Source organism: Homo sapiens, chromosome 11, assembly GCF_000001405.40.
Source record: "Homo sapiens chromosome 11, GRCh38.p14 Primary Assembly".
In the NCBI taxonomy this organism is placed as follows: Eukaryota; Metazoa; Chordata; class Mammalia; order Primates; family Hominidae; genus Homo; species Homo sapiens.
Window position 1 is genome coordinate 790,454 of NC_000011.10, and position 19,259 is coordinate 809,712.

Here is a 19,259-nt window from a genome sequence, read left to right on the forward strand (position 1 = left end):
ACCCCCAGACAGACAGCAGCATCTACTTAGAATATTTATTTATTCTCTGACATGACAAGACACAAAAAGTTACAACTTCTTAAAACTCTTCAAAAGAAAAAAATATAATTCTGTAAGCAGCAGCAGCAGCTTCCAAGGTTCTGATGTGACGGGAGGGGCAGCTCCCAGGAGCAACCGTGAACTGGGGGGGTCCAGGCCTGAGCCCCAGGTAGTGTCGCTGGGAAGGGGCCTCTGTGGAGGGCCCCGGTTTTGGGGACACAGCACCAGCACATCAGGGTCTGTCACCAACACGATCACATGGCCAGGGCGGGGCAGGGAGAGCTTCGGCTCACAGCAGGGATCGCCCGGTGGCAGGGGGGATGGGGCTTCTGAAGTGTGGTCAGGGGCCTTATGCCCGGAGGCGGGAAGGATGGGGCTTCTGCAGTGTACCCAGGGGCCTTATGCAGAGGCTGAAAAAGGAGGGTGGGCCCTGAGAGGACTTGGGGGTGTGGCAGCTCCTGGCCCTCCCTCCAGAGCAGGGCAGGCACCCTCAGGCTCCACACTGGTCCCAATGCCCGCCCTGCTCCCTGGCCAATCCCAGGCCAGGGTGGAGGACTCAGGAGAGACCAAGCTGGGTAAGTTAGTTCCTGGACGGGGTCAACAGAGCCTGGGGCACACACAGCACACAGAGCGCCTGGCCACGGCGGGAAGGGGGGCAGTCCCCAGCAGCCCCATCCCCAAGGGCCAGGCCAGATCCCCACAACACACACACGCATGCACACACACATACACACACACATGCACACAGACCTCACAATCTGGGCCCCAGCCTGGGGTGGGAGCTGAGGAGCCCACCAGAAAGTCCCACAGTGGGTGGCGGGCTTGCCCCAAGAGTCAGACCTCAGGGCAACCCCTCACTTGGGATTCCTGGCTCAACAGAGAGGGCAGGAGACCCCAGTCCTCTTGCAAGGCTGGCCAGGGAGGCAGAGTCAAGTCCTGCCAAGGCGACAAGAGCGGCTGGGGAAGGACGGAAGGGCTGGAGAGCCGCTTGGGTCCAGCAGATTCAATAAATAGGTTTGTGTGGGGTGCCTGTGTGGGCCAGGATGGCTGTGGAGACTGGAGCTGGTGGACTGGGGGTATGGTCCAGCCTGCCCGGCCCAGGCCCGGGGGCCCCCAGCCCAGAGACCAGCTCTGTCCCTGGGGGTGTTCAGGCCAGGGCAGGATTGGGGCAGGGGCTAGCTTGAGGAATGTAAAGATTTCTGCATTTTCTACATAAATGAGACATTGATCCCAACGGTGCAGGCAGCACCCCGGGGGGCTTGCGTGTGCACCACCTATGTGGACCCTGCACCCTGCCCCCTGCTGCCCCTGCCGACGGGAGGGCTGGGGAGGGGTCTTCCCTTGCTCCGTCCTGGGCTAGCTGCCTGGCTCCAGCCCCACACCGGCCCTGCCCAGCTGGCTGGGGTGGAGCGGGTGCTGGGCTCAGGCCTGGGGGTCCTGCAGCAGCCCCAGCAGGGACTCCGCGATGCCCAGGAAGTAGACCACCTGTGCGATGCCGAAAAGGGGCGCGATGACCAGCGCGCGGCAGTAGGCGCCCTTCAGGAAGGCCGAGGGGCCCTCGTGCCGCAGGATCTTCCTGTGGAGGAAGGACGAAAGGGTCAGCCCGGTACGCAGGCCCCCAGGCCCCACCCGCCGTGGGACCTCCCCACCTGGCACAGTCCAGGATCCCAGAGTAGGTGTCCTCGTTGACGCCTCGCTGAAGTGACTGGAGCCGCGTCTTCACCACTGCAAGGGGCGCTCGGGTCAGTGTGAGCCTGGCCAAGGGCTCAGTCCCGCCCCATCCCCAGCCGGGCGCCATCCCATGCACTGACCATCACAGGGGTTGACGGCCACAGCGGCGGCACTCCCAGCCACACAGCCGGCCAGGAAGGACACGTAGAAAGGCGACTTCTCCTCGGACGCCGGGCGGCCCAGCTGGTTCAGGTTGGCAAAGAGCGGGAAGTACACCACAGAGAAGGGGACATCCCTGTGGGGAGGGAGGTGGCCGTGGGGACAGGAGGTGGTGGGGTGGGCAGGCCGGCCTCCCCCTTCCCTCCCCCCACCTGCCCTGTGCCTCCTACCTGAGCAGCGTGGCCCCGAGTCCCTTGTAGAGACCGGCAATGCCACGGCTCCGCAGCAGGTCGCGGGTCAGCTGGGTGGCCGTGGGCCGAGGGGCAGCTGGAGCCTCCACTGAGGGCTGGGCACCCCCCTGGGCCGAGAGCTGGCCCTGGGCAGCCAGGATCTTCCTCTGGGCGGCTGGGGACAAAGAGGCTGCTGTCTCCTCTTCTGTGCGAACTGGGCAGGGGACACGCTCTGGCCCTCCCTGCGTCCCCACCCTCCCCTCGCCCTCACCTCTTCCCGCACCTCTGCCCTCTCCTCCCCCTCCCCCCGCCCTCACCAATGCGCCCTGCATCCTGCAGCTGGATCTTCAGCATCTCCATGGGCGTGGTCACGATCACCTGGCAGGTGCCAGCCCCACAGCCCGCCAGCATCTCTTTAAGCAGGGTCAGCTTCTGCCTGTGGTAGGGGCGGGGCCGCAGTAAGTGGGAAGAGACAGGTCTACCTGCCACCCTCGGGGCTGCCCACCATGCCTGGGCGCAGAGGATGGTGGGAGCCGTGGAGGCAGATGCAGGCCTGTGGGGGTACAGCCCCCAGCCTCCGCCACTGCAGCAGCAGGCAGGGAGGAGACCGATGGACAGACGGCCCCACAGGCAGGGGCCTGGGGAGGGCAGTGGGGCTGTCTGCGACAAAGGAAAATGGGAAATTGGGGGTCAAGTGCCCCAAAAAGGGGCTGCCCTTGCAGTCCCCCTCCAGTGATGGGGGAGCTGGTCAGTGCCCTCAGGCCAAGGGCTACCAAGCCAGAGCCCCACTGATTTGACATCTGCTTTGCTCCCCTGGTCAGGGGAAAGGAGGGAGGGTGCCCCACGAGGTCAAAGAAGCCCCAAGCAAGGGGCTGAAGACAGGCAGAGCCCCCAGGTGGGACCCAGCTGGCAGGGTGGACCCATCCTTTATCTGAAGCCAAAGACCCCTCGAGTGTCTGCCAGGCAGAACCCTCACCCGTCCTTAGAGAGCTGATGTCGGAAGAAGTCGTTGGCTGCCAGCTTGATGGCCTTCTCGGGGGTGACGAGGGTCAAGTTCACAGCAGCTCCTGTGGGGCAGGGGGTCAGCTGGGGGGACATGCTCGGTGGCCTGAGTGGGGAGGCGCTTGGCCAGGACTTGCCTCCTGGCTGGCAAAACCCTGTCCCAGTCACTCCTGGCCACCATCTGTTCTCTCACCCACATTTGGGCCTGGTGTGTGCCAGGTGGGGCGGGGCCAGGCAGGGATGGGGCAGCACCTCAGGCTCAGGCTCTCCCATGCCCACTGCAGCTCCATCTGTCTCTGATTCTGGGCAGCATCTTGCTGCTCAGGGCATGAGGACTGCCCCGGAGCCCCTGAGGCCTCCCTAGGATACCTCTCCCTCCCTGGAGGACAGATGGTGCTTGTGCTGGCAGGGGGCTGGGGCCAGAGGTCACAGGAGTGTGTGGTCTGGACTGGGCCAGAGCTCGGGGGAGGCTGTGGAGAGCCCCCATCTCAGTGCCGAAGGCTCAGGGCTGGAGAGCTTCTGCCAAATCTAGGCTCTGGATTGTGTCCTAAGCTGCTTTGCGGTAATGCCCCTTACTCCCTCCCATCCCCAGCCACAAACGGGGTCCAGCCTGGCCCAGAAGGCAGAGGCAGCTGTGGCCACCAGAGAAGAGACAGATGTACCATGGCATCCCACGCACCAGGCACTAAGTGGGGGTGGGGAGCTGCCACGGGAGAGGCTGAGAACTACCACTCACCAGAGATCCAGTCCCCCCTGCACAGGCACAGCCCCCACAAACACGTCCACGCTCACACACCAGGCCCAGGCTGGCCGCCCTGCCCTGCCTCCCCCACCGCTCCCTGCCACGACTCGCGGGCGCTACCCAGGCCTGCCCATATCGAGCCCAGCCGAGCCAAACCTCACCCCGGTACATGCCGAAGTAGCCCTCGGAGCGGACGGTCTTGATGAGGCAGTCGGACCTGTGGCCAAGGGGACAGGGTGAGCCAGGGCCAGCTGGGGCCAGCCGGAGGCCAGGGTCCCTGGACTGTCTAGGGCTGATAGAAGAGGCCAAGTCCTCAGCCCAGCCCCGACCCCAGTCCTGACCCACGTGGGATCTCCCCTAGGCCCGCCTGCCTCCCGTTTCCCTTCTGTCAAACAGGGTGGGGGGCACAGGAGCAGAGCCCCCACCTCTCCTGCTGCCACATGCTGGGCCCACTCCCCGCGACCGCCCGGCACACTCACATGCTCGTGTACACGCGCTGGCCGTTCTGCTGGTTCTGCAGCCTGGTCTTGGCCAGGTCGATGGGAAACACGCAGGTGACACCGATCAGCCCGGCGATGCCGCCATTGATGAGCTTGGCTGGCAGGCTGTGTGGACAGGGGTGTCAGGACCGGCTTCCTTGACCATGGGTCAGGGTGGGGGTGAGGCACGCAGCCAGGACTGGAGTCTGACCTGATCTGCTTATCAGCCATTTAACTCGATTGCACCCAGGTAGGAGCCGCAGAGGTGGACGCCAGGCCAGGCGGGGTGGAGGTGGAGGTGGAGGAGGCCTTGAGGGAGGGTGGGACCCAGGGGGGTTGGGTGGTGCTCCACCTTCAGGGGAATTTCCAGGCGTCAGCAACCGCCACTTCTGTCCTAGAAGGATGAGGGAATGGGAATGAGTGAGGGTGGGGCCACCCGAAGAGTAATCCTCCCCCAGCCTCCCTCTCTCACGCAGCCCCTCACCCACCACCCCAGACTGAAGCCGTCACTGCGTCCTGAGGGTGCAGCAGCGGGAGGCACCTGCCACCCAGTCCCATGCTCACCCCTGGGACCACCTGGCTTCCTTTCAGTCCCCCCCTCCCCACCGCCAGCGTCTTCCCAGCCAGCCTCACACGCCGCTCACGCTCGGGGCTCACGTGCACCCCAGCCAGCTCCGGCTTTTAAAGGGCCAGGCACCTCTGGGGGCAGTGCCAGGGGCCGGGGCCAGGGTGCCTACCGGAGCACCTCGACCTGGACAGCTGTGGTGACCATCCCCCACATCCTTCAGCACAGAGAGAGCAGCAGCCGGCACCTGCCCCCTTCGAGCTAGGGGCTGGGGTCCCGGGCGCCCTAAGACCCCCCGACCTGGGCTCAGCTATCCCAGGTATAGCTCTCCTCCCATGGCAGCTCCACCTAGGGCCTGCAGAGCTCCTCCCCACGATGCCCACACCCCCCACAGCCAGCCCCTTGCCCGCCCCTTCCTCCCCTCCACCCCTCCCAGGAGTTTCACTCATGGACACACAGAAGCCAGTGATGGGACCCCTGGAAGCCTTGGGGGTGGGGGATGGCTGGCCTTCTGAGGCCCCCTGTGGCTGGCACCCCCATCCACTACAGAGGAGGAGAGGACAGGCCTCTCCCACTAAGCAGCAAGGCTGGGGAGCCACAGCCAGCCTCAGGGGCCTCCCATAGGGTCATGGCCATAAAATCCCAGCTTCGGGGGCCTTTCCCCCCTCCCTGGGCCCCCCAGAGGCCAGCTGTTTCACCCACCGGCAGCGCCGTTGCCCAGGGCCACGCGGCTGGCTCACACCCACAGATCCTCAGGGACTCGTAACCTTCACCTCGGCTTTCCAGGGCTGGGCCATCCACCACCGACCCCCGCTCCGCCACCTGCCCGCTGGTCCTGCTCTCACTCTGCCCCAGGCACTCACTCTGGATGGCTCTTCCACACTCCAGCCCAGCACTCACACAGAAGGGGAAGCTGCCGGGGGAGGAGGCGAGGGGCCGCAGGGATTGGCCGTGGGGCGGGGTGGGGCGGGCTTGGGTGGGGGGGCACTTTCTCTTTCACTTTGGGCAAGCAGAGGCTTCCGGCAGCCTTGAGAGGAGAGATGAGCAGGGGTGGGTCTGACTCAGGCTGACCTGGCACAGCGAGGCCACCCACCGACAGGGACCTCAGCGCGTGGCCACCACACCCCCAGCACACATGTGTTCCTGTCTGCTGCCTGTGGGTTGAACCCTATAGCATTTCCTGGCCTGGATCTGTCTAGGGCTGGTACTCTGAGAATGAGGCTTTCTCCGGGCCAGGGTACCCTGTATGTACCTGGACAGGGAATCCGGTGCTGTGGAGCAGAGATGGGCTAACACCCACTCGTGTCTGTGGGATGTGTGTCTGCTAGGGGCAGATGCATGTCAGGGAAGCCTCATGCTGGGCCACAAAAAAGGCCTGCTGTCCACAGGGAAGAGCTAGCTGGGTGCCAGAGGCCACTGTTGCCACCCACAGGCCCTGCTCACCTGGCAGGTCCAGAGGGCACACGAGCTGGCATGCCCAGAGCCCTCTGCCCCACCACCCGTCCCACTCAGGGCTTCACCGTCAGACCTGCCTTTCCCTGCCTCAGCCAGTGGTGGTGACAAGCTGACCTCTGAACTTCTACCTGATCCCTCCTAGCCCCCCCCACCCCTGCCGCCCCACTCTTCGGGTGCAGACTGGCCACAGCTCTCCGGGCTGCGCTGGGCCCTTCATCTCCACTCTAGTCCCTCCCAGGGGTGTACCCTGGCCCTCCAGGGACTGAGCAACCCCCTTCCTCCTGGGAGCCTATCTCCAGTCTGGGATGAGGACACCTGCATGATAGGGGCAATCCTGGAAGTCAGGCCGACCGAGGTGGGGAGCGGCCATTCGTCCCAAGAAGAGAAGCAGGCCCAGAGATCCCAGGGCGGAGAGGCAGGCCTGGGCCCGCACGTCACCCAGTGCAGCGGAGAGGAGCTTCTGGGTGGAGAATGATGACAGTGAGGGGCTCTGCCTGGGGAAGAACCGGCAGGGGTTCCCTCTGAACGCCAACCCCGCCTTTCTCTGCCCTCACTCGGCAGTTCCCACCCCTGGTTTATGAGACAGCTGGCCAGGGCCCTCCCCCTGCACTGATGTTGCTATAGAAACCCTGCAGCCCCAGCCGGGCCCCGGGCTGTGAGCCGTCACTGTCCCCCCTTCATAGTCAGGTGAACTGAGGCCACAGGCAAGCCAGGGAGACAGCAGGAGAGCAGAGACCACCCCACAGGAAGATACCGCTGCTTCCGAATCTGCAGGGGTAAAATCCTCCACCCAAGAAGCCGCCAGGCTCCTCCTACCCCCAAGAAAGGCAATGGGGGTGAGGCTCCGAGTCTGGCCGGCGGCTCCCCATTCAATCTCCCGCTGTCCCCGTCCTCTTGGGGCGGTGCTTTCTATCCTGCTGGCTGGAGGGTCCCGGAAGGGGACTCCAACTGCGCGATGCCTCGGCCAGAGGACAAAGGAGAAGCGGGTTGGGGGCCGCTCTCTGCGCTCGGAGGCCGGCTCAGGCCCCTGCCCTACTGCTGGGGCTCAGCCGACCGCTCCGTCCTCCGCCTGGCCACCGCGACTCCGGCCACGCACGTGTCCACAGATGTCCGGTGAACTCCCACGTGTGCGTCCCACACGGGTCGGCCTTTCTTCCTTGGGCTCGGGCCCCGGACACCCACCCTCGGGGACACGTATGTGCGGGGAGCGCGCCCGGAACCGTCGGGGCCGAGCACGGCGTCTCACGCCAGAGCAGCCGCGGATCGGAGCATCCGCTGGTCCAGGACCCCCCCTCCCGCCCGCCAGGCCACGTTGTTCGGGCAGCTGTCACCTCCCTCGGCCGCCGCAGCACCTCTCGCCCCCGCAGCCCGGCCGCGTTCGGATGGGCGCAGCAGAAGGGAGCCGCCGGGCAGACACTCACCACGCTCGCCGCCGCCGCCGCGCTCGCCTGCCCGCCCCGCGCTCGGCCAGCACCTAGGCGGGGAGGCGCGTCCGCTCGGCGCCGCGCGCGCTCCGCCCTCGGCCTCCTCCGGGCTTCGGCTCCCCCTCCTGGCCGTCGAGGCTACTGCGCCCAGCCAGGCCACAGCCACGCGCCCACCCGCCCCCTGGCCGTGGGTTCCCCCGGGCAGGGTGGCAGTTCTGCGCGCAGAGGCCGGGCCGCGCGTCCCCAAGGTCCTTTCTTGGTTTCCGGGCCTCAGGCCCCTGCAGGCACAAGGACCCGCGGGGCGCGGGCAGGTGGCAGAGCGCCGGTGGATGAGGGTGCCCTGGGGGAGGCGTGGCCTCCAGGGCAGACACAGGTGATCCGTGGAACTGCTGGGCCAGCGCAATGGAGAAGTGGAGGCACAACCCCACCCGCCGAACAGCGACTTTGTATCCAAAGCACCCCACTTGGGGCTGGGCGCAGTGGCTCACACCTGCAATCCCAGCACTTTTGGAGGCCGAGGCAGGCGGATCACTTAAGGTCAGGAGTTCGAGACCAGCCTGGCCAACATGGTGAAACCCCGTCTACTAAAAATACAAAAATTAGCCAGCGTGGTGGCAAGTGCCCTAGTCCCAGCTACTTGAGAGGGTGACGCAGAATCGCTTGAACCTGGGAGGCAGAGGTTGCAGTGAGCTGAGATCATGCCACTGCACTCCAGCCTGGGTGACAGAAACTCCATTTAAAAAAAAAAAAAAAGTAGCCCATGTGGGTTACTTTGTAGCACAGCTCCTCCCTCCCAGGAAGATGAGGACCCACAGGAGGCCCCAGGCACAGTGGGAGAGGACAGGACCAGGATGTGGGGCACCTGTGCACACAGGCCTCCCTCCCCGCAGGGGCCAGGCCTCTACCCCACCACCCTCCGCCCTCCAACGGCTTCTCCATCCAACAAATAAATCAAGCTCTGAGGTGAAAGAAACAGTGCAGTTTTGTTGCTCACAGGGACCCGTCCCCACACACTGGAGAGACTTGAAGGTGGGGGCTCTGCCCATCCACTGGGGAATATCTGGGCCAGCCTAAAAGTCTGTGGGGCCTAGGCCTGGGCAGGCTCTGGGGGCTGTGGAGCCGAGGAGCCAGGCAGAGCGGGGTCCTTGGGGGCCAAGCCCATGCGTCGGATGCTGTCCTGGTACTTGCGGCGGCCGAGCTCCAAGACTGCGCGCACCTCTTCAGCCACGTCCTGCCGGTCACTCTGCTCCAGGGCCTGCACCAGGAGCCCCACAGCCCCTGGCTGCCCAGCCTGGCGCTCAGCCCAGGAGAAGAGCATGTGACGGATCTGCTCATCCAGATCATCCCTGCAGGCAGAGGATGGGCGACAGAGGGGTCCTGTCCACCTGCCCAGGACCCCCCACCACACTCTGCCTCGGAGTGTGGGGGAGTTCCCGGCTCCTGGGGCCAGGTGCGGCCAGACCTTTCCTTTCCAGCCTGGTGTTTGCCCTTCCCCCACCTCCCCTGGAAGAAACTTCTGTCAGAATCAGGTGGGCCCTCCAGGCAGCCAGGGCTCAGCCCTGGGGCTGGCAGCCAGCGGGCAGTGGGAGCCTCACCGGAACTCGTGCCGGATGCGCTGCACCTCCCGGTAGGACACCCCCAGGTGCAGGGCCACGGCTGGCCAGTCCAGACCCAGACGCCCAGCCACACTCAGCAGGTTGCTCTGCGTCAGAAAGCCGGTCTCGGCATCTCCCAGATTCAAGGGTGCCAAGGAGAGGCCAGCCCCCCGCCGTGGCCCCTCGGACCCTCGAAGTCTCTGTTGGAAGGAAAAAGTGCATTAAGCCCTGGGCTCCACCCCCAACTCCACCATGTCACCCTGGTCACCCCTGGGCCTCGGTCCTGCCCCGCCCCTCTGCTGTCCCTCAGTCCCACCGGCAGCTTGATGGGCAGAGTGGCCATCCACAGGGCGTCTGCGCCCTTCCTCTGCCGGGCAGCCTCAGCCTCCTCGGGCACCCGCACAGGCACCGCGCCACGGTAGAAGGACACCTGAAGGGGCATCGAATGGGGTTCGGAGTTCGGTCCTCTGCCCAAGCGGCCTGGGGGGCCTCTCCCCTCACCCACTCCCCTCGCCCACCTGGCCCCGCACAGCCTGAGCCTCCCGGTCCAGAGTGGTGGTCACGTATACCTCCTTCACATTCTTCAGGTGCGAGTAGAAGACAAAGCAGATTCTGCCCTCCACACAGTCAGGGCGGTCTAGGGGACAGGGGTGGGCTGAGCAAGGAGGGCTCGGGGAGGACGGTAAGGCTCCCCCTCCAGGGCAGGGAGCATCCACCAGCATCCCTACCAGCATCCACGTCGATGCCGCGCTCGAAGGCCGCAAAGAACTCTTCGCCCTCGAACATCTCCACCGTGTCAGAGGGCTCGGGGCCCCGGTACCGCTCCAGCAGCCGCCGAAGGGTGGCGTCCACCTGCGGGGAAGCCCGTGCAGCTCAGGACCCAAAGCTCTGCACCCCACCCCAGCCCTCTGGTCACCACCCTGCTGCCCTCCGGCCCGTGCCCCCACCTTGTTTCGGGGCAGGCACTGCAGCAGGACCTGCTCAGGGTCCCGGCGCCGCTGCAGAGCGATGAGGTTCACACGGTGCAGCCGCAGCCGCTCCCAGGCCTTCCGAGCCAGGCCTCCCACACAGTTCTTGGTGGTGTACCAGAGCCAGTACCTGGGAGAGCTGGGGGTGAGGAGGGCTGTACAGACTGGGGGAGGGGGGCTGAGAAAGCTGGGGGGCACTGACCAGGAGAAGTGTGTGACCTGGAAGCGTGCGTACAGGTGGGTGAGCTCCAGGACCACCTGAGCTGTGATGTCATCCCAGGTGGCTGCAGGAGGGGCCCAGTACAACAGGTGCAGGCGGGAGCGGTCCAGACTGAGGCCTGGGGATGGGAGGGGCAGCGAGCTGAGGCCTCCTGGCCGGAGACCCCCTCCACCCTATGGCCACAGGTCCAGGTATGCCCCATGGCTGCCTCTCACCTGTGATGCCAGAGGGCAGAGGCAGCTGCACGGTGACCGGTTGGAGGAAGCTGGGGGGACCGCTCTGTGACAGGCACAGCAGGGGGCTCACTGCAGCCTCTGGTTCTCCCAGGAGGGCCTGCAGCTCTCGGCCAGCCATGCGCACCACCTGGGGCAGACAGGCCCCCTGAGCACCTGCCTGTGGGCTGAGGCGCGGCCTGCCACCCTCAGTGCTGTCCTGGCCATACCTGCATGGAGACTCGACGAGGCTCCTCAGTGGCCCCAGGGGGGAAGATGACTTTGACCCCAGGATGACCCGAGGAGCACAGCAGTGTCCCCTCCGGTGGCACCAGGCAGGCATTGGACACAGGGCGGGAAACCACAAGGAACCAGGAGAAGTGGGGCACCTGGCAGTGAGCCCAGAGCCGCTGGGATGGGGGAGAGAGGAGGTCACAGGAGCCTGGGTCAGGGCACAGCCAGTCAGGGACACAGGGAGCAGGATCCAGGAGAGACGGGGCGGGGTGGAAGGTGCCAGGGACACAGGGAGCAGGATCCAGGAGGGACGGGGTGGGGTGGAAGTTGCCAGGGACACAGGGAAGCAGGATCCAGGAGGGACGGGGTGGGGTGGAAGGTGCCAGGGACATAGGGAAGCAGGATCCAGGAGGGACGGGGCAGGGTGGAAGGTGCCAGGGTGAGGCTCTGGGCAGAGGTGCACGGCTCAGGGCAGCAGCTCTCCACTCGCCACCGGCAGGCCTGGGTGGCCCTCACCTGGGGTGCCTCTTCCTCCAGGTAGGTCTCCAGGTCACCCCAGCTGTTGTCATTCCGGGTCCTGACCACCACTTCACGGCAGCGCCGGGCCTGCGGTGGGGTGAAGAGCAGCCACAGCCCCACATCCTGCCAGACAAGGATGGTGTGAGCACTGGAGCCATGCCCGGGCCCGCACACTGCCCCTGCCATGCCCTGGCCCACACACTGCCCCCGCCACGCCCTGTCCATGCCTGCTGGAAGGCCACCCCATGGGGCTGCAGCTCCAGCACATGGCTGAGCAGGGCGTCATGAGGACCCAGGGGGACGAGGCCTGGCTCCGGCAGCAGCAGCCGATAGCGGATGGTGATGGGGGTGGCGGTGGCTCCCGCTGGGAACTGCAGGCGGACGCCACAGGCCAGGGTCACTGAGCAGCCTTGAGGGGTCACAGGAAAGCTGAGTGAGGAAGGAGCGAGCAACAGGTTAGACCCAGAAGGGCCTACGTGTTGGAGCCTGGACCCAGGAACTCTGGAGAAGGTGTCGGAGGGGCCAGAGTGACAGGCAGACAGACTCCCCTCCAGCCCCCTCAACCCACCCCATACCTGTCCAAATCTGAGGTCAGGAACAGTCTGGGCATTTCTGGAATGAGGGCTGCCACTGTGCAGGGGACAGACATGTGCTCAGGACAGTGAGGAGACTCATGTCCTATCCCAGGTCTGCCCCTTCTAGCACCAAGCCTACCTGGTGAACTCGGGGCGTCTGGCGAGGCCTCACCCAGGGGGTTCCCCTGCAGGCGCACAAAGGGGGCGTCTAGCAGCTCAGGGGGCAGGTCCCGGAGCTGGTTGTCCCTCAGGTCGAGCCGGGTGAGGAGTGGAAGGCGGGCCAAGTCAGCTGGCACAGAGGCCAGGAGGTTGCTGTGCAGGACAAGGAGCCGCAAGGACCGAAGTCCCGCTGCGGGCAGTTGCTGGCTTAGGCTTGGCACCAGCCCAGCCCACGGCGCTGGGACACTCCTGCTGCCGCCTCCCAGAGCAGCTGTTTCAGACTCTCCTCCACAGCTGGGCTCAGAGAACTCTGACAAAGCCACTGAGGGAGTCTCAAAGGCCAGGGAGGTGGAGGGACAACCAAGAGGCAGCTGTGGACCAAGCCTGTGGGTGCAGAGGCCCCTGCAGAAGACAGGCAGGCTTCAGGGACCCTCCCGTGGGGCCAGTGTGTCGGGGCGCAGGGGCTACTCACCCAGAGAGGCTGGGAGGCTCTGCAGCCGGTTGGAGGCCAGGTTGAGCTCCAGGAGGCTGCCCAGGCCTCCAATCTCAGGAGGTAGCGTGTCCAGCAGATTCTGAGAGAGATCGAGGCGCTGCAGGGTGGATAGGGCCCCCAGTGCTGGGGGCAGCGTCTGCAGGCGGTTGTGTGTCACTGTGAGGAAGGTGAGGGCGGGGAGGGCCCCCAGAGCCTCAGGCAGCTCAGAGAGGCAGTTGTGAGACAGCAAGAGCGCACCCAGACCTCGCATCTGCAGGACACAGGCCGGCAGTGTCTCCAGGCTGTTGAAGCTCAGGTCCAGGTGGGCCAGATGGGCCAGGCCACTCAGACCAGCGGGCAGGTTGGTCAGGGCACCCCGGAGACAGGCACCCAGTGTGTCCCGGCGTTGCCCTCCTGGGAAGGGGGGAGGCGGATGTGGCCCTCAGAGCCAGGGTCCGAGGTCCCAGATCGACCCTGCCAGCCAGAGAAACAGCTGCTCGAGAGGCACAGACCTCCCACCCCACCCCCACCCCAGCCAGACAGGGACAGACAGACAGAAACACTGGAGAGGTGCCCGCAAATGGAAGGAGGCAGGGGTGGAGACCACCGGCTCATCTCAGCTGACAACCATCACCCACAACCTTCCCCAGGAACAACATCTGCACTGTGGTCTGGAGAGACCCCCACTGGGCAGCGTCAGGGTCCAGGAGCCAGGGCCCAGCCAGCCCCACACTGGGGGTGGTGATCACCGAGGATGGCGATGGGGCTGGACAGGACCAAGAGCAGAACAGTTCACACCTGGGGAGCCGGGAGGGGCGGCCTGGAGCTGGGGCTGGGACTGGGGTTTGCCTTTGAGAACATGCAGCAGAGGCAGGGCAGAGCGAGAGATGGAGACAGGGCCCAGAACAGGTGGAACTCACCTTTGAGGACCAGGGAGCGGAGGCAGGACAGGCTCTGAGGCAGCTGGGCCAGGGTGGCCTCCAGCAGCTGAGGGTCCTCGTGAGTGCTCAGACGCAAGAATTCCACCTGCAGCAGCTGCAGAGGCTGCTGGACACACAGGTGCAGCAGCTGCTGGCAGCCCCCGGGGTACAGGTCCAAGCTCAGCCGGTTGCCGCCCAGGAAAGGCAGCGCCCTGGACCCTGCGTCCGAATCCTCTGAAGCATCTCCTGCGGCAGCAGCTGCCTCCAGCTCTGGCCCCTCCACCGTTGCAGCCATCGCCCACCGACGGTCCTTGGAGGCCAGACATGTCCCAGCACGCAGGCAGGCCTGTCCAGGCAGCGCCCGGGGAAGCTGCAGAGGCAGGAGGAGGAGTGAGCGGGAGCCGGGGTGGGCCCTTCTCTTTGGGGAAACAGGGACTCTGGATGGAGTGGGGAGCTCTAGAGCCAGGCCATCTGGGCCTGGGCTGCAGAGTGGGGGAGACCTTGTGGTCACCCTGAACCCCGGAGGCCTGGGTCACCACTGGAAAGAGGGTTGGGGAATGGGACCGCCATGGCTCGCAGGAGCACCGGGCAGGGAGACCTCGCTATGAGCAGCAAAGCCGGGGTAGTGAGGCTTCAGTCCTGGTCCTGGAAATCTGGCCAATGGAGCCGTGGAGCTGCGAGGTCATAGGGGCTGTTCCCCAGTCCTGGAGATGAGTCCCCCTTCTATTTACATCCGTTTTACCAGGAAGGCCGTGACCCTCCCCTACCGCGGGGGTGACTGCGCCCCGAAAGTCAGGGAAGGCCGTGTAAGGGTGAGGGCCTGGGGCGTGAGCCATTGGGCAGCTTCGGGGTCCTGGGGCCGGGACCCCAATTCGTGAGCCCCGGAGGAAACCTCTCCCGGCCTTTCCAGTTCGGTCCACTGGGGAGGGTGGTGCACCGCGCACCGCTCAGACGGCGTGGGGGGCGGGCCCCAGCCCCGAGGCAGGCTCGGGATCCCCCGGGCGTCGGGGATGGGAACGGCCCCCAGCCTCCCAAAAGCAAACGTGTCCCCGCCGCCCCCTCCGCCCGCCCAGGCCGGCGCGTACCTGCGCTGCAGGCGGCGCGCAAAGGGTGGCTGCTCAGCGGGCGCTCGGCGCCTGGGATCCCGCCGGCGCGTTTCTGGGTGGGCGGGGACTGCAGACCCCGCCCCTTGGGCCCCGCCCCCTCGGGACGCGCCCCCTCCGCCGGGCTGGGGTCCACGGGGGAGGTCTCCCGGCTCCTCCCCGACCCGCCTTCCCTCCGCCTGTCGCAGCCCCGGAGACGCGGACGCGACCCGTCCATCTGCCGAGCCGCCCGCGCAGCAGCGCTCGGCTTCCTGTTAGTCCGCGGGGTCGGAGCCGTACAGCCTCCCCCGCCCGGAAGGCCACGAAACCCGCCCTTTCCGAGGTTCTCGGGGCCCCGGGCCGCTCCGAGGCAGACCCGGCCCCAGGTGCGTTCCCAGGCCGGGGTGACGGGGGTACTCTTGCCGCTGCCCCGCACCCACCCCTGCTACAAGCCGGAACAATTGCAGTGTCCTTTCCAAACCAGCCCAAACGGCCTCCTCCGGGAAGCCTGCCAGGACCTCCTCTCTGGGCCTGCAAAGACCCTTCCTTTCGAGCCATCACTCTGGGCCAGAAGCAGTGAGCCTCCTGGCACTGTCTCCTTCAATCGCGCAGGGGAGAAGGAGGCGTTAAGAGATAAAATATTGAGCGGGCGCGGTGGCTGACGCCTGTAATCCCAGCACTTTGGGAGGCCGAGGCGGGTGGATCACGAGGTCAGGAGTTTGAGACCAGCCTGGCCAACATGGTGAAACCCCGTCTCTACTAAAAATACAAAAATTAGCCGGGCGTGGTGATGCGCGCCTGTAGTCCCAGCTACTCAGGAGGCTGAGGCAGAAGAATGGCGTGAACCCGGGAGGCGGAGGTTGTAGTGAGCCGAGATGGTGCCACTGCACTCCAGCCTGGGAGACAGAGCAAGACTCCGTCTGAAAAAAAAAAAAAAAAAAAATCAGATATTGCCCGAGGCCCTGTAGCTGGTGAGGGTCAAAGCCAAGAACCTGAAATCTGCCCTGTCCGCCTTCCCCACCAACATGATACCCCCGAGCGGGCCTGTGCTTTATTCACCAGCTTCCTCGCCCAGGAGAACAGGTACTTAGGGAGGGAACAGACACCACCAGCTATGCCTGCTTCTTTCCTGAGGTCATATCAGCGGCTCCTCCTTCCCCACCAACATGATACCCCCGAGCGGGCCTGTGCTTTATTCACCAGCTTCCTCGCCCAGGAGAGCAGGTGTTTAGGGAGGGAACAGACACCACCAGCTATGCCTGCTTCTTTCCTGAGGTCATATCGGCGGCTCCTTCTTCCTTCCATTTCCCAGCTACCACCATCCCTCCCTCTGGGACAGGCAGGTCTCTTCCAGGCCTCCCTGCTTCCATTCACCCCAGCCCCTTCCATGTAGGGCCTGGAGGGATCTTTTTTTTTTTTTTCTTTGAGATGGAGTCTGGCTGTGTCCCAGAGGCTGGAGTGCAGTGGCGTGATCTCGGCTCACTGCAAGCTCCACCTCCAGGGTTCACACCGTTCTCCTGCCTCAGCCTCCTGAGTAGCTGGGACTACAGGCGCCCACCACCACGCCCGGCTAATTTTTTTGTATTTTTAGTAGAGACGGGGTTTCACCGTGTTACCTAGGATGTTCTCGAACTCCTGACCTCGTGATCCACCCGCCTCGGCCTCCCAAAGTGCTGGGATTACAGGTTTGAGCCACCGCACCCGGCCAAGAGATCTTTTTAAAAACCAACCACAGGCCTGATGCTGTGGCTTACGCCAGTAATCCCAACATTTTGTGAGGCTGAGGTGGGCGCATCACTTGAGGTCAGGAGTTCAAGCCCAGTCTGGCCAATATGGTGAAACCGTGTGTCTATTAAAAATACAAAAATTACCCAGGTGTGGTGGCAGGCGCCTGTAATCCCAGCTACTGGGGAGGCTGAGGCACGAGAATGGCTTGAACGCGGGAGGCGGAGGTTGCGGTGAGCTGAGATCTCGGCACTGCACTCCAGCTTGGGTGAGAGTGAGACTCCCTCTCAAAAAAAAAAAAAAAAACAGGCTGGGCGCTGTGGCTCGCATCTGTAATTCCAGCACTTTGGGAGGCCGAGGCGGGTGGATCAGGTCAGGAGATCGAGACCATCCTGGCTAACAAGGTGAAACCCTGTCTCTACTAAAAAATTAGCTGGGCGTGGTGGCGGGCGCCTGTAGTCCCAGCTACTCGGGAGGCTGAGGCAGGAGAATGGTGTGAACCCGGGAGGCGGAGCTTGCAGTGAGCTGAGATTGCGCCACTGCACTCCAGCCTGGGCTACAGAGCAATACTCCGTCTCAAAAAAATAAAAAAATAGGCCGGGCGTGGTGGCTCACGCCTCTAATCCCAGCACTTTGGGAGGCCGAGGAGGGTAGATCACGAGGTCAGGAGATCGAGACCATCTTGGCTAACACGGTGAAACCCCGTCTCCACTAAAAACACAAAAACTTAGCCGGGCGCGGTAGCAGGCGCCTGTAGTCCCAGCTACTTGGGAGGCTGAAGCAGGAGAGTGGCATGAACCTGGGAGGCAGAGGTTGCAGTGAGCCAAGATCACGCGACTGCACTCCAGCCTGGGCGGCAGAGCAAGACTCAGTCTCAAAAATAAATAAATAAATAGAATCCACTTATAACTGCTGCTCCTCAAAGTGTAAATTCAGGGCAACTTGAATCTATGTTCCCAGGACGCAATCCTCAAGCCTGGCCCACATAAACTACTCTGTATTTATATTAAATTTGTCTTAGCATCTACCTTTTAGGTAGGTACTTGAAATCTGAAAATACACTGAATGAAAAAAGCCAGACACAAAAGGCAAAATACTGTATTATTTCAGTCTTACGGGGTGCTACAGTTGTCAAAATCATAGGAAGAGAAAGTAGAATGTGTTTATCAAGGGTGGGGGAGCAGGGAATAGGGACTTTAATAGGTACAGAGTTTGTTTGGGATAATAAAAAAAAAGTGAGATGGGGCTGGGCACAGTGGCTCGTGCCTGTAATCCCAGCACTTTGGGAGGCGGAAGTGGGAAGATCACTTGAAGTCAGGAGTTTGAGACCAGCCTGGCCAACATGGTGAAACCCCGTCTGTACTAAAAATACAAAAATTAGCCGGGCATGGTAGTGGGTGCCTGTAATCCCAGCTACTCAGGAGACTGAGGCAGGAGAATCGCTTGAACCCAGGAGGCAGAGGTTGCAGTGAGCCAAGATCTCACCAGTGCACTCCAACCTGGGGAACAGTGGGACTCCTCAGAAAAAAAGAAAAAAAAAAGTTGGGGCCGGGCGCGGTAGCTCACGCCTGTAATCCCAGCACTTTGGGAGGCCCAGGTGGGAGGATCGCTTGAGCCCATGTTGGACAACGCTGTCTCTACCAAAAAATTTTAGCCGGGTGTGGTGGCACACGCCTGTGGTCTCCGCTAGGAGGCTGAGGTGGGAGGATCACCTGAGCCCAGGAAGTTGAGGCTGCAGCGAGCTGTGATCGAGCCACTGCACTCCAGGCTGGGCGACAGAATGGGGCCCAGTCTCAAAAATTACAAAATAAGAAAAGTCCCATTGTTCCCAAGATGGTTTCCCGCCTTTACCCCAGATGTGTGACCCTGAGCAAAAAAACCTTTCTGTACCCAACTGCCTCATCTATAAAATGGGGGTAATGATAACGAGGCCACAGAAGGCGACTGTGAAGTCGAGTTCCAGTGCTTGACGTATACACACCCCAGGGTTTGCACTGCTGTTAGAGCCCAACGGGAGCTGGCGCTGCCTGCTAACACGGTAGATACCTGCATCTGACCCTGTTCCTGGTGCTCGCCCGGGATATTGGCAGGGATGGCTCCTTCTCATCTCTCAGCTCAAGCTTTCTCAGGCTGCCCAGAGGACCAAGTCTCCCTCTGTCCCTGTCCTTCGGATCGCCTCCCTATTCACCTCCTGCGTCCTCGCACAAGAACTCAAGTCCTTAGGAGGCAGGGCCAACCCTGTTCCCTCCCAGGACCCGAGAATGTAGCGGGGTCCCTGAGGTGCTGATGTCCACATGGACACCGAGGTCAGTTCCGGGCCAAAGCGGCCAGCGCAGGGGCTGACCACTCAGACCTCACTCCTCGCAGGGGTGAGCGGGCGACGCTGCCTCACGTCATTGTCCTGCCCTCCAAGGCCCGCGCTCGTCCTCTGACAGGATGCCCTGACACCGCAGTGCGGGGGCGGCCTCCCAGATAGGGCCGCAGTCGCTAAGTCCGAGGCGGCTGGCTCACCTCACTGAGCCCGGCTGGACGTGGGACCACCGGTCGCCGCGGCCAGGGAACCACCAAGGAGTCAAGGCGAGCCTACCGCCAGCAGCTTCTGCCCGGGCCCACGCGCCGTTCCGGGTAGGCCCGCGGCGCAGGCCACTTCCGGCAGCGGTGCACCATGGGACTTGCAGTTCGCTGGCAAAGGTTGAGTCCCGGGCGTGGCGGCCGCGCTCCATGTTGGGAGCTGTAGGCGCCGCGTGGCATGCTGGGGGTGCTAGGTACCGAAGGCAGATGCCGTCCCTTTGGACTCGCTTCGTCCAACGCC

The 19,259-nt window shown here is 63.8% G+C and overlaps 3 protein-coding genes across 39 annotated transcripts, besides 20 other annotated features; 1 reads left to right on the forward strand and 2 right to left on the reverse strand.

The window, feature by feature from the left end:
* Positions 22–7,828, reverse strand: SLC25A22 (solute carrier family 25 member 22). Of its 21 annotated transcripts, none has more exons than NM_001425338.1 (11): positions 7,764–7,828; positions 5,590–5,914; positions 4,534–4,716; positions 4,323–4,448; positions 4,005–4,060; positions 3,076–3,166; positions 2,417–2,535; positions 2,100–2,274; positions 1,851–2,005; positions 1,689–1,764; positions 22–1,615 (listed from the first exon to the last, which is right to left on the reverse strand). In NM_001425338.1, exons 3-11 carry the CDS (start codon positions 4,551–4,553, stop codon positions 1,462–1,464), a joined length of 972 nt encoding a protein of 323 aa, NP_001412267.1. In that variant the 5' UTR covers positions 4,554–4,716; positions 5,590–5,914; positions 7,764–7,828; the 3' UTR covers positions 22–1,461. The 21 variants fall into 21 exon arrangements, with proteins under 21 accessions (NP_001412267.1, XP_047283556.1, XP_047283555.1 ...); XM_047427600.1 differs by having other exon boundaries at positions 5,590–5,800; positions 6,140–7,828; XM_047427599.1 differs by having other exon boundaries at positions 6,140–7,828.
* Positions 3,776–4,294: an enhancer, noted in NCBI's record as "H3K27ac-H3K4me1 hESC enhancer chr11:794229-794747 (GRCh37/hg19 assembly coordinates)". NCBI's record gives its function as "activates a minimal SCP1, AML or CMV promoter by ChIP-STARR-seq in naive H9 embryonic stem cells {active_cell/tissue: H9 hESC(naive)}" and the evidence as "EXISTENCE:reporter gene assay evidence [ECO:0000049][PMID:30033119]".
* Positions 4,813–5,331: an enhancer, noted in NCBI's record as "H3K27ac-H3K4me1 hESC enhancer chr11:795266-795784 (GRCh37/hg19 assembly coordinates)". NCBI's record gives its function as "activates a minimal SCP1, AML or CMV promoter by ChIP-STARR-seq in primed H9 embryonic stem cells {active_cell/tissue: H9 hESC(primed)}" and the evidence as "EXISTENCE:reporter gene assay evidence [ECO:0000049][PMID:30033119]".
* Positions 4,913–4,972: a silencer, noted in NCBI's record as "silent region_3030". NCBI's record gives its function as "represses an Ori minimal core promoter by ATAC-STARR-seq in GM12878 lymphoblastoid cells {active_cell/tissue: GM12878}" and the evidence as "EXISTENCE:reporter gene assay evidence [ECO:0000049][PMID:35858748]".
* Positions 5,223–5,302: a silencer, noted in NCBI's record as "silent region_3031". NCBI's record gives its function as "represses an Ori minimal core promoter by ATAC-STARR-seq in GM12878 lymphoblastoid cells {active_cell/tissue: GM12878}" and the evidence as "EXISTENCE:reporter gene assay evidence [ECO:0000049][PMID:35858748]".
* Positions 5,783–5,852: a silencer, noted in NCBI's record as "silent region_3032". NCBI's record gives its function as "represses an Ori minimal core promoter by ATAC-STARR-seq in GM12878 lymphoblastoid cells {active_cell/tissue: GM12878}" and the evidence as "EXISTENCE:reporter gene assay evidence [ECO:0000049][PMID:35858748]".
* Positions 5,849–6,367: an enhancer, noted in NCBI's record as "H3K27ac-H3K4me1 hESC enhancer chr11:796302-796820 (GRCh37/hg19 assembly coordinates)". NCBI's record gives its function as "activates a minimal SCP1, AML or CMV promoter by ChIP-STARR-seq in primed H9 embryonic stem cells {active_cell/tissue: H9 hESC(primed)}" and the evidence as "EXISTENCE:reporter gene assay evidence [ECO:0000049][PMID:30033119]".
* Positions 5,973–6,112: an enhancer, noted in NCBI's record as "active region_4278". NCBI's record gives its function as "activates an Ori minimal core promoter by ATAC-STARR-seq in GM12878 lymphoblastoid cells {active_cell/tissue: GM12878}" and the evidence as "EXISTENCE:reporter gene assay evidence [ECO:0000049][PMID:35858748]".
* Positions 6,673–6,742: an enhancer, noted in NCBI's record as "active region_4279". NCBI's record gives its function as "activates an Ori minimal core promoter by ATAC-STARR-seq in GM12878 lymphoblastoid cells {active_cell/tissue: GM12878}" and the evidence as "EXISTENCE:reporter gene assay evidence [ECO:0000049][PMID:35858748]".
* Positions 6,813–6,872: an enhancer, noted in NCBI's record as "active region_4280". NCBI's record gives its function as "activates an Ori minimal core promoter by ATAC-STARR-seq in GM12878 lymphoblastoid cells {active_cell/tissue: GM12878}" and the evidence as "EXISTENCE:reporter gene assay evidence [ECO:0000049][PMID:35858748]".
* Positions 7,013–7,182: an enhancer, noted in NCBI's record as "active region_4281". NCBI's record gives its function as "activates an Ori minimal core promoter by ATAC-STARR-seq in GM12878 lymphoblastoid cells {active_cell/tissue: GM12878}" and the evidence as "EXISTENCE:reporter gene assay evidence [ECO:0000049][PMID:35858748]".
* PANO1 (proapoptotic nucleolar protein 1) lies at positions 7,173–8,739 on the forward strand. The gene has a single exon (XM_034751809.2). The coding sequence runs from the start codon at positions 7,173–7,175 to the stop codon at positions 7,818–7,820; it is 648 nt and encodes a 215-aa protein (XP_034607700.1). The 3' UTR covers positions 7,821–8,739.
* Positions 7,404–7,920: an enhancer, noted in NCBI's record as "H3K27ac hESC enhancer chr11:797857-798373 (GRCh37/hg19 assembly coordinates)". NCBI's record gives its function as "activates a minimal SCP1, AML or CMV promoter by ChIP-STARR-seq in primed H9 embryonic stem cells {active_cell/tissue: H9 hESC(primed)}" and the evidence as "EXISTENCE:reporter gene assay evidence [ECO:0000049][PMID:30033119]".
* Positions 7,404–8,202: a biological region, named in NCBI's record as "H3K27ac hESC enhancer GRCh37_chr11:797857-798373".
* Positions 7,543–8,202: a silencer, noted in NCBI's record as "silent region_3033". NCBI's record gives its function as "represses an Ori minimal core promoter by ATAC-STARR-seq in GM12878 lymphoblastoid cells {active_cell/tissue: GM12878}" and the evidence as "EXISTENCE:reporter gene assay evidence [ECO:0000049][PMID:35858748]".
* Positions 8,731–19,048, reverse strand: PIDD1 (p53-induced death domain protein 1). Of its 17 annotated transcripts, XM_011520210.4 has the most exons (17): positions 18,959–19,048; positions 14,726–15,642; positions 13,641–14,010; positions 12,721–13,134; positions 12,229–12,438; positions 12,090–12,144; positions 11,742–11,943; positions 11,512–11,637; positions 10,992–11,171; positions 10,765–10,912; positions 10,532–10,667; positions 10,309–10,459; positions 10,090–10,213; positions 9,880–9,998; positions 9,678–9,791; positions 9,362–9,561; positions 8,731–9,112 (listed from the first exon to the last, which is right to left on the reverse strand). In XM_011520210.4, exons 3-17 carry the CDS (start codon positions 13,933–13,935, stop codon positions 8,854–8,856), a joined length of 2,733 nt encoding a protein of 910 aa, XP_011518512.1. In that variant the 5' UTR covers positions 13,936–14,010; positions 14,726–15,642; positions 18,959–19,048; the 3' UTR covers positions 8,731–8,853. The 17 variants fall into 17 exon arrangements, with proteins under 17 accessions (XP_011518512.1, XP_005253062.1, XP_011518511.1 ...); XM_005253005.6 differs by having other exon boundaries at positions 10,309–10,667; XM_011520209.4 differs by lacking the exon at positions 14,726–15,642 and having other exon boundaries at positions 9,931–9,998; positions 18,494–19,048.
* Positions 13,708–14,405: an enhancer, noted in NCBI's record as "H3K27ac-H3K4me1 hESC enhancer chr11:804161-804858 (GRCh37/hg19 assembly coordinates)". NCBI's record gives its function as "activates a minimal SCP1, AML or CMV promoter by ChIP-STARR-seq in naive and primed H9 embryonic stem cells {active_cell/tissue: H9 hESC(naive and primed)}" and the evidence as "EXISTENCE:reporter gene assay evidence [ECO:0000049][PMID:30033119]".
* Positions 13,757–13,826: an enhancer, noted in NCBI's record as "active region_4282". NCBI's record gives its function as "activates an Ori minimal core promoter by ATAC-STARR-seq in GM12878 lymphoblastoid cells {active_cell/tissue: GM12878}" and the evidence as "EXISTENCE:reporter gene assay evidence [ECO:0000049][PMID:35858748]".
* Positions 13,907–14,046: an enhancer, noted in NCBI's record as "active region_4283". NCBI's record gives its function as "activates an Ori minimal core promoter by ATAC-STARR-seq in GM12878 lymphoblastoid cells {active_cell/tissue: GM12878}" and the evidence as "EXISTENCE:reporter gene assay evidence [ECO:0000049][PMID:35858748]".
* Positions 14,407–15,126: a silencer, noted in NCBI's record as "silent region_3034". NCBI's record gives its function as "represses an Ori minimal core promoter by ATAC-STARR-seq in GM12878 lymphoblastoid cells {active_cell/tissue: GM12878}" and the evidence as "EXISTENCE:reporter gene assay evidence [ECO:0000049][PMID:35858748]".
* Positions 18,450–18,739: an enhancer, noted in NCBI's record as "active region_4284". NCBI's record gives its function as "activates an Ori minimal core promoter by ATAC-STARR-seq in GM12878 lymphoblastoid cells {active_cell/tissue: GM12878}" and the evidence as "EXISTENCE:reporter gene assay evidence [ECO:0000049][PMID:35858748]".
* Positions 18,750–18,849: an enhancer, noted in NCBI's record as "active region_4285". NCBI's record gives its function as "activates an Ori minimal core promoter by ATAC-STARR-seq in GM12878 lymphoblastoid cells {active_cell/tissue: GM12878}" and the evidence as "EXISTENCE:reporter gene assay evidence [ECO:0000049][PMID:35858748]".
* Positions 19,000–19,189: an enhancer, noted in NCBI's record as "active region_4286". NCBI's record gives its function as "activates an Ori minimal core promoter by ATAC-STARR-seq in GM12878 lymphoblastoid cells {active_cell/tissue: GM12878}" and the evidence as "EXISTENCE:reporter gene assay evidence [ECO:0000049][PMID:35858748]".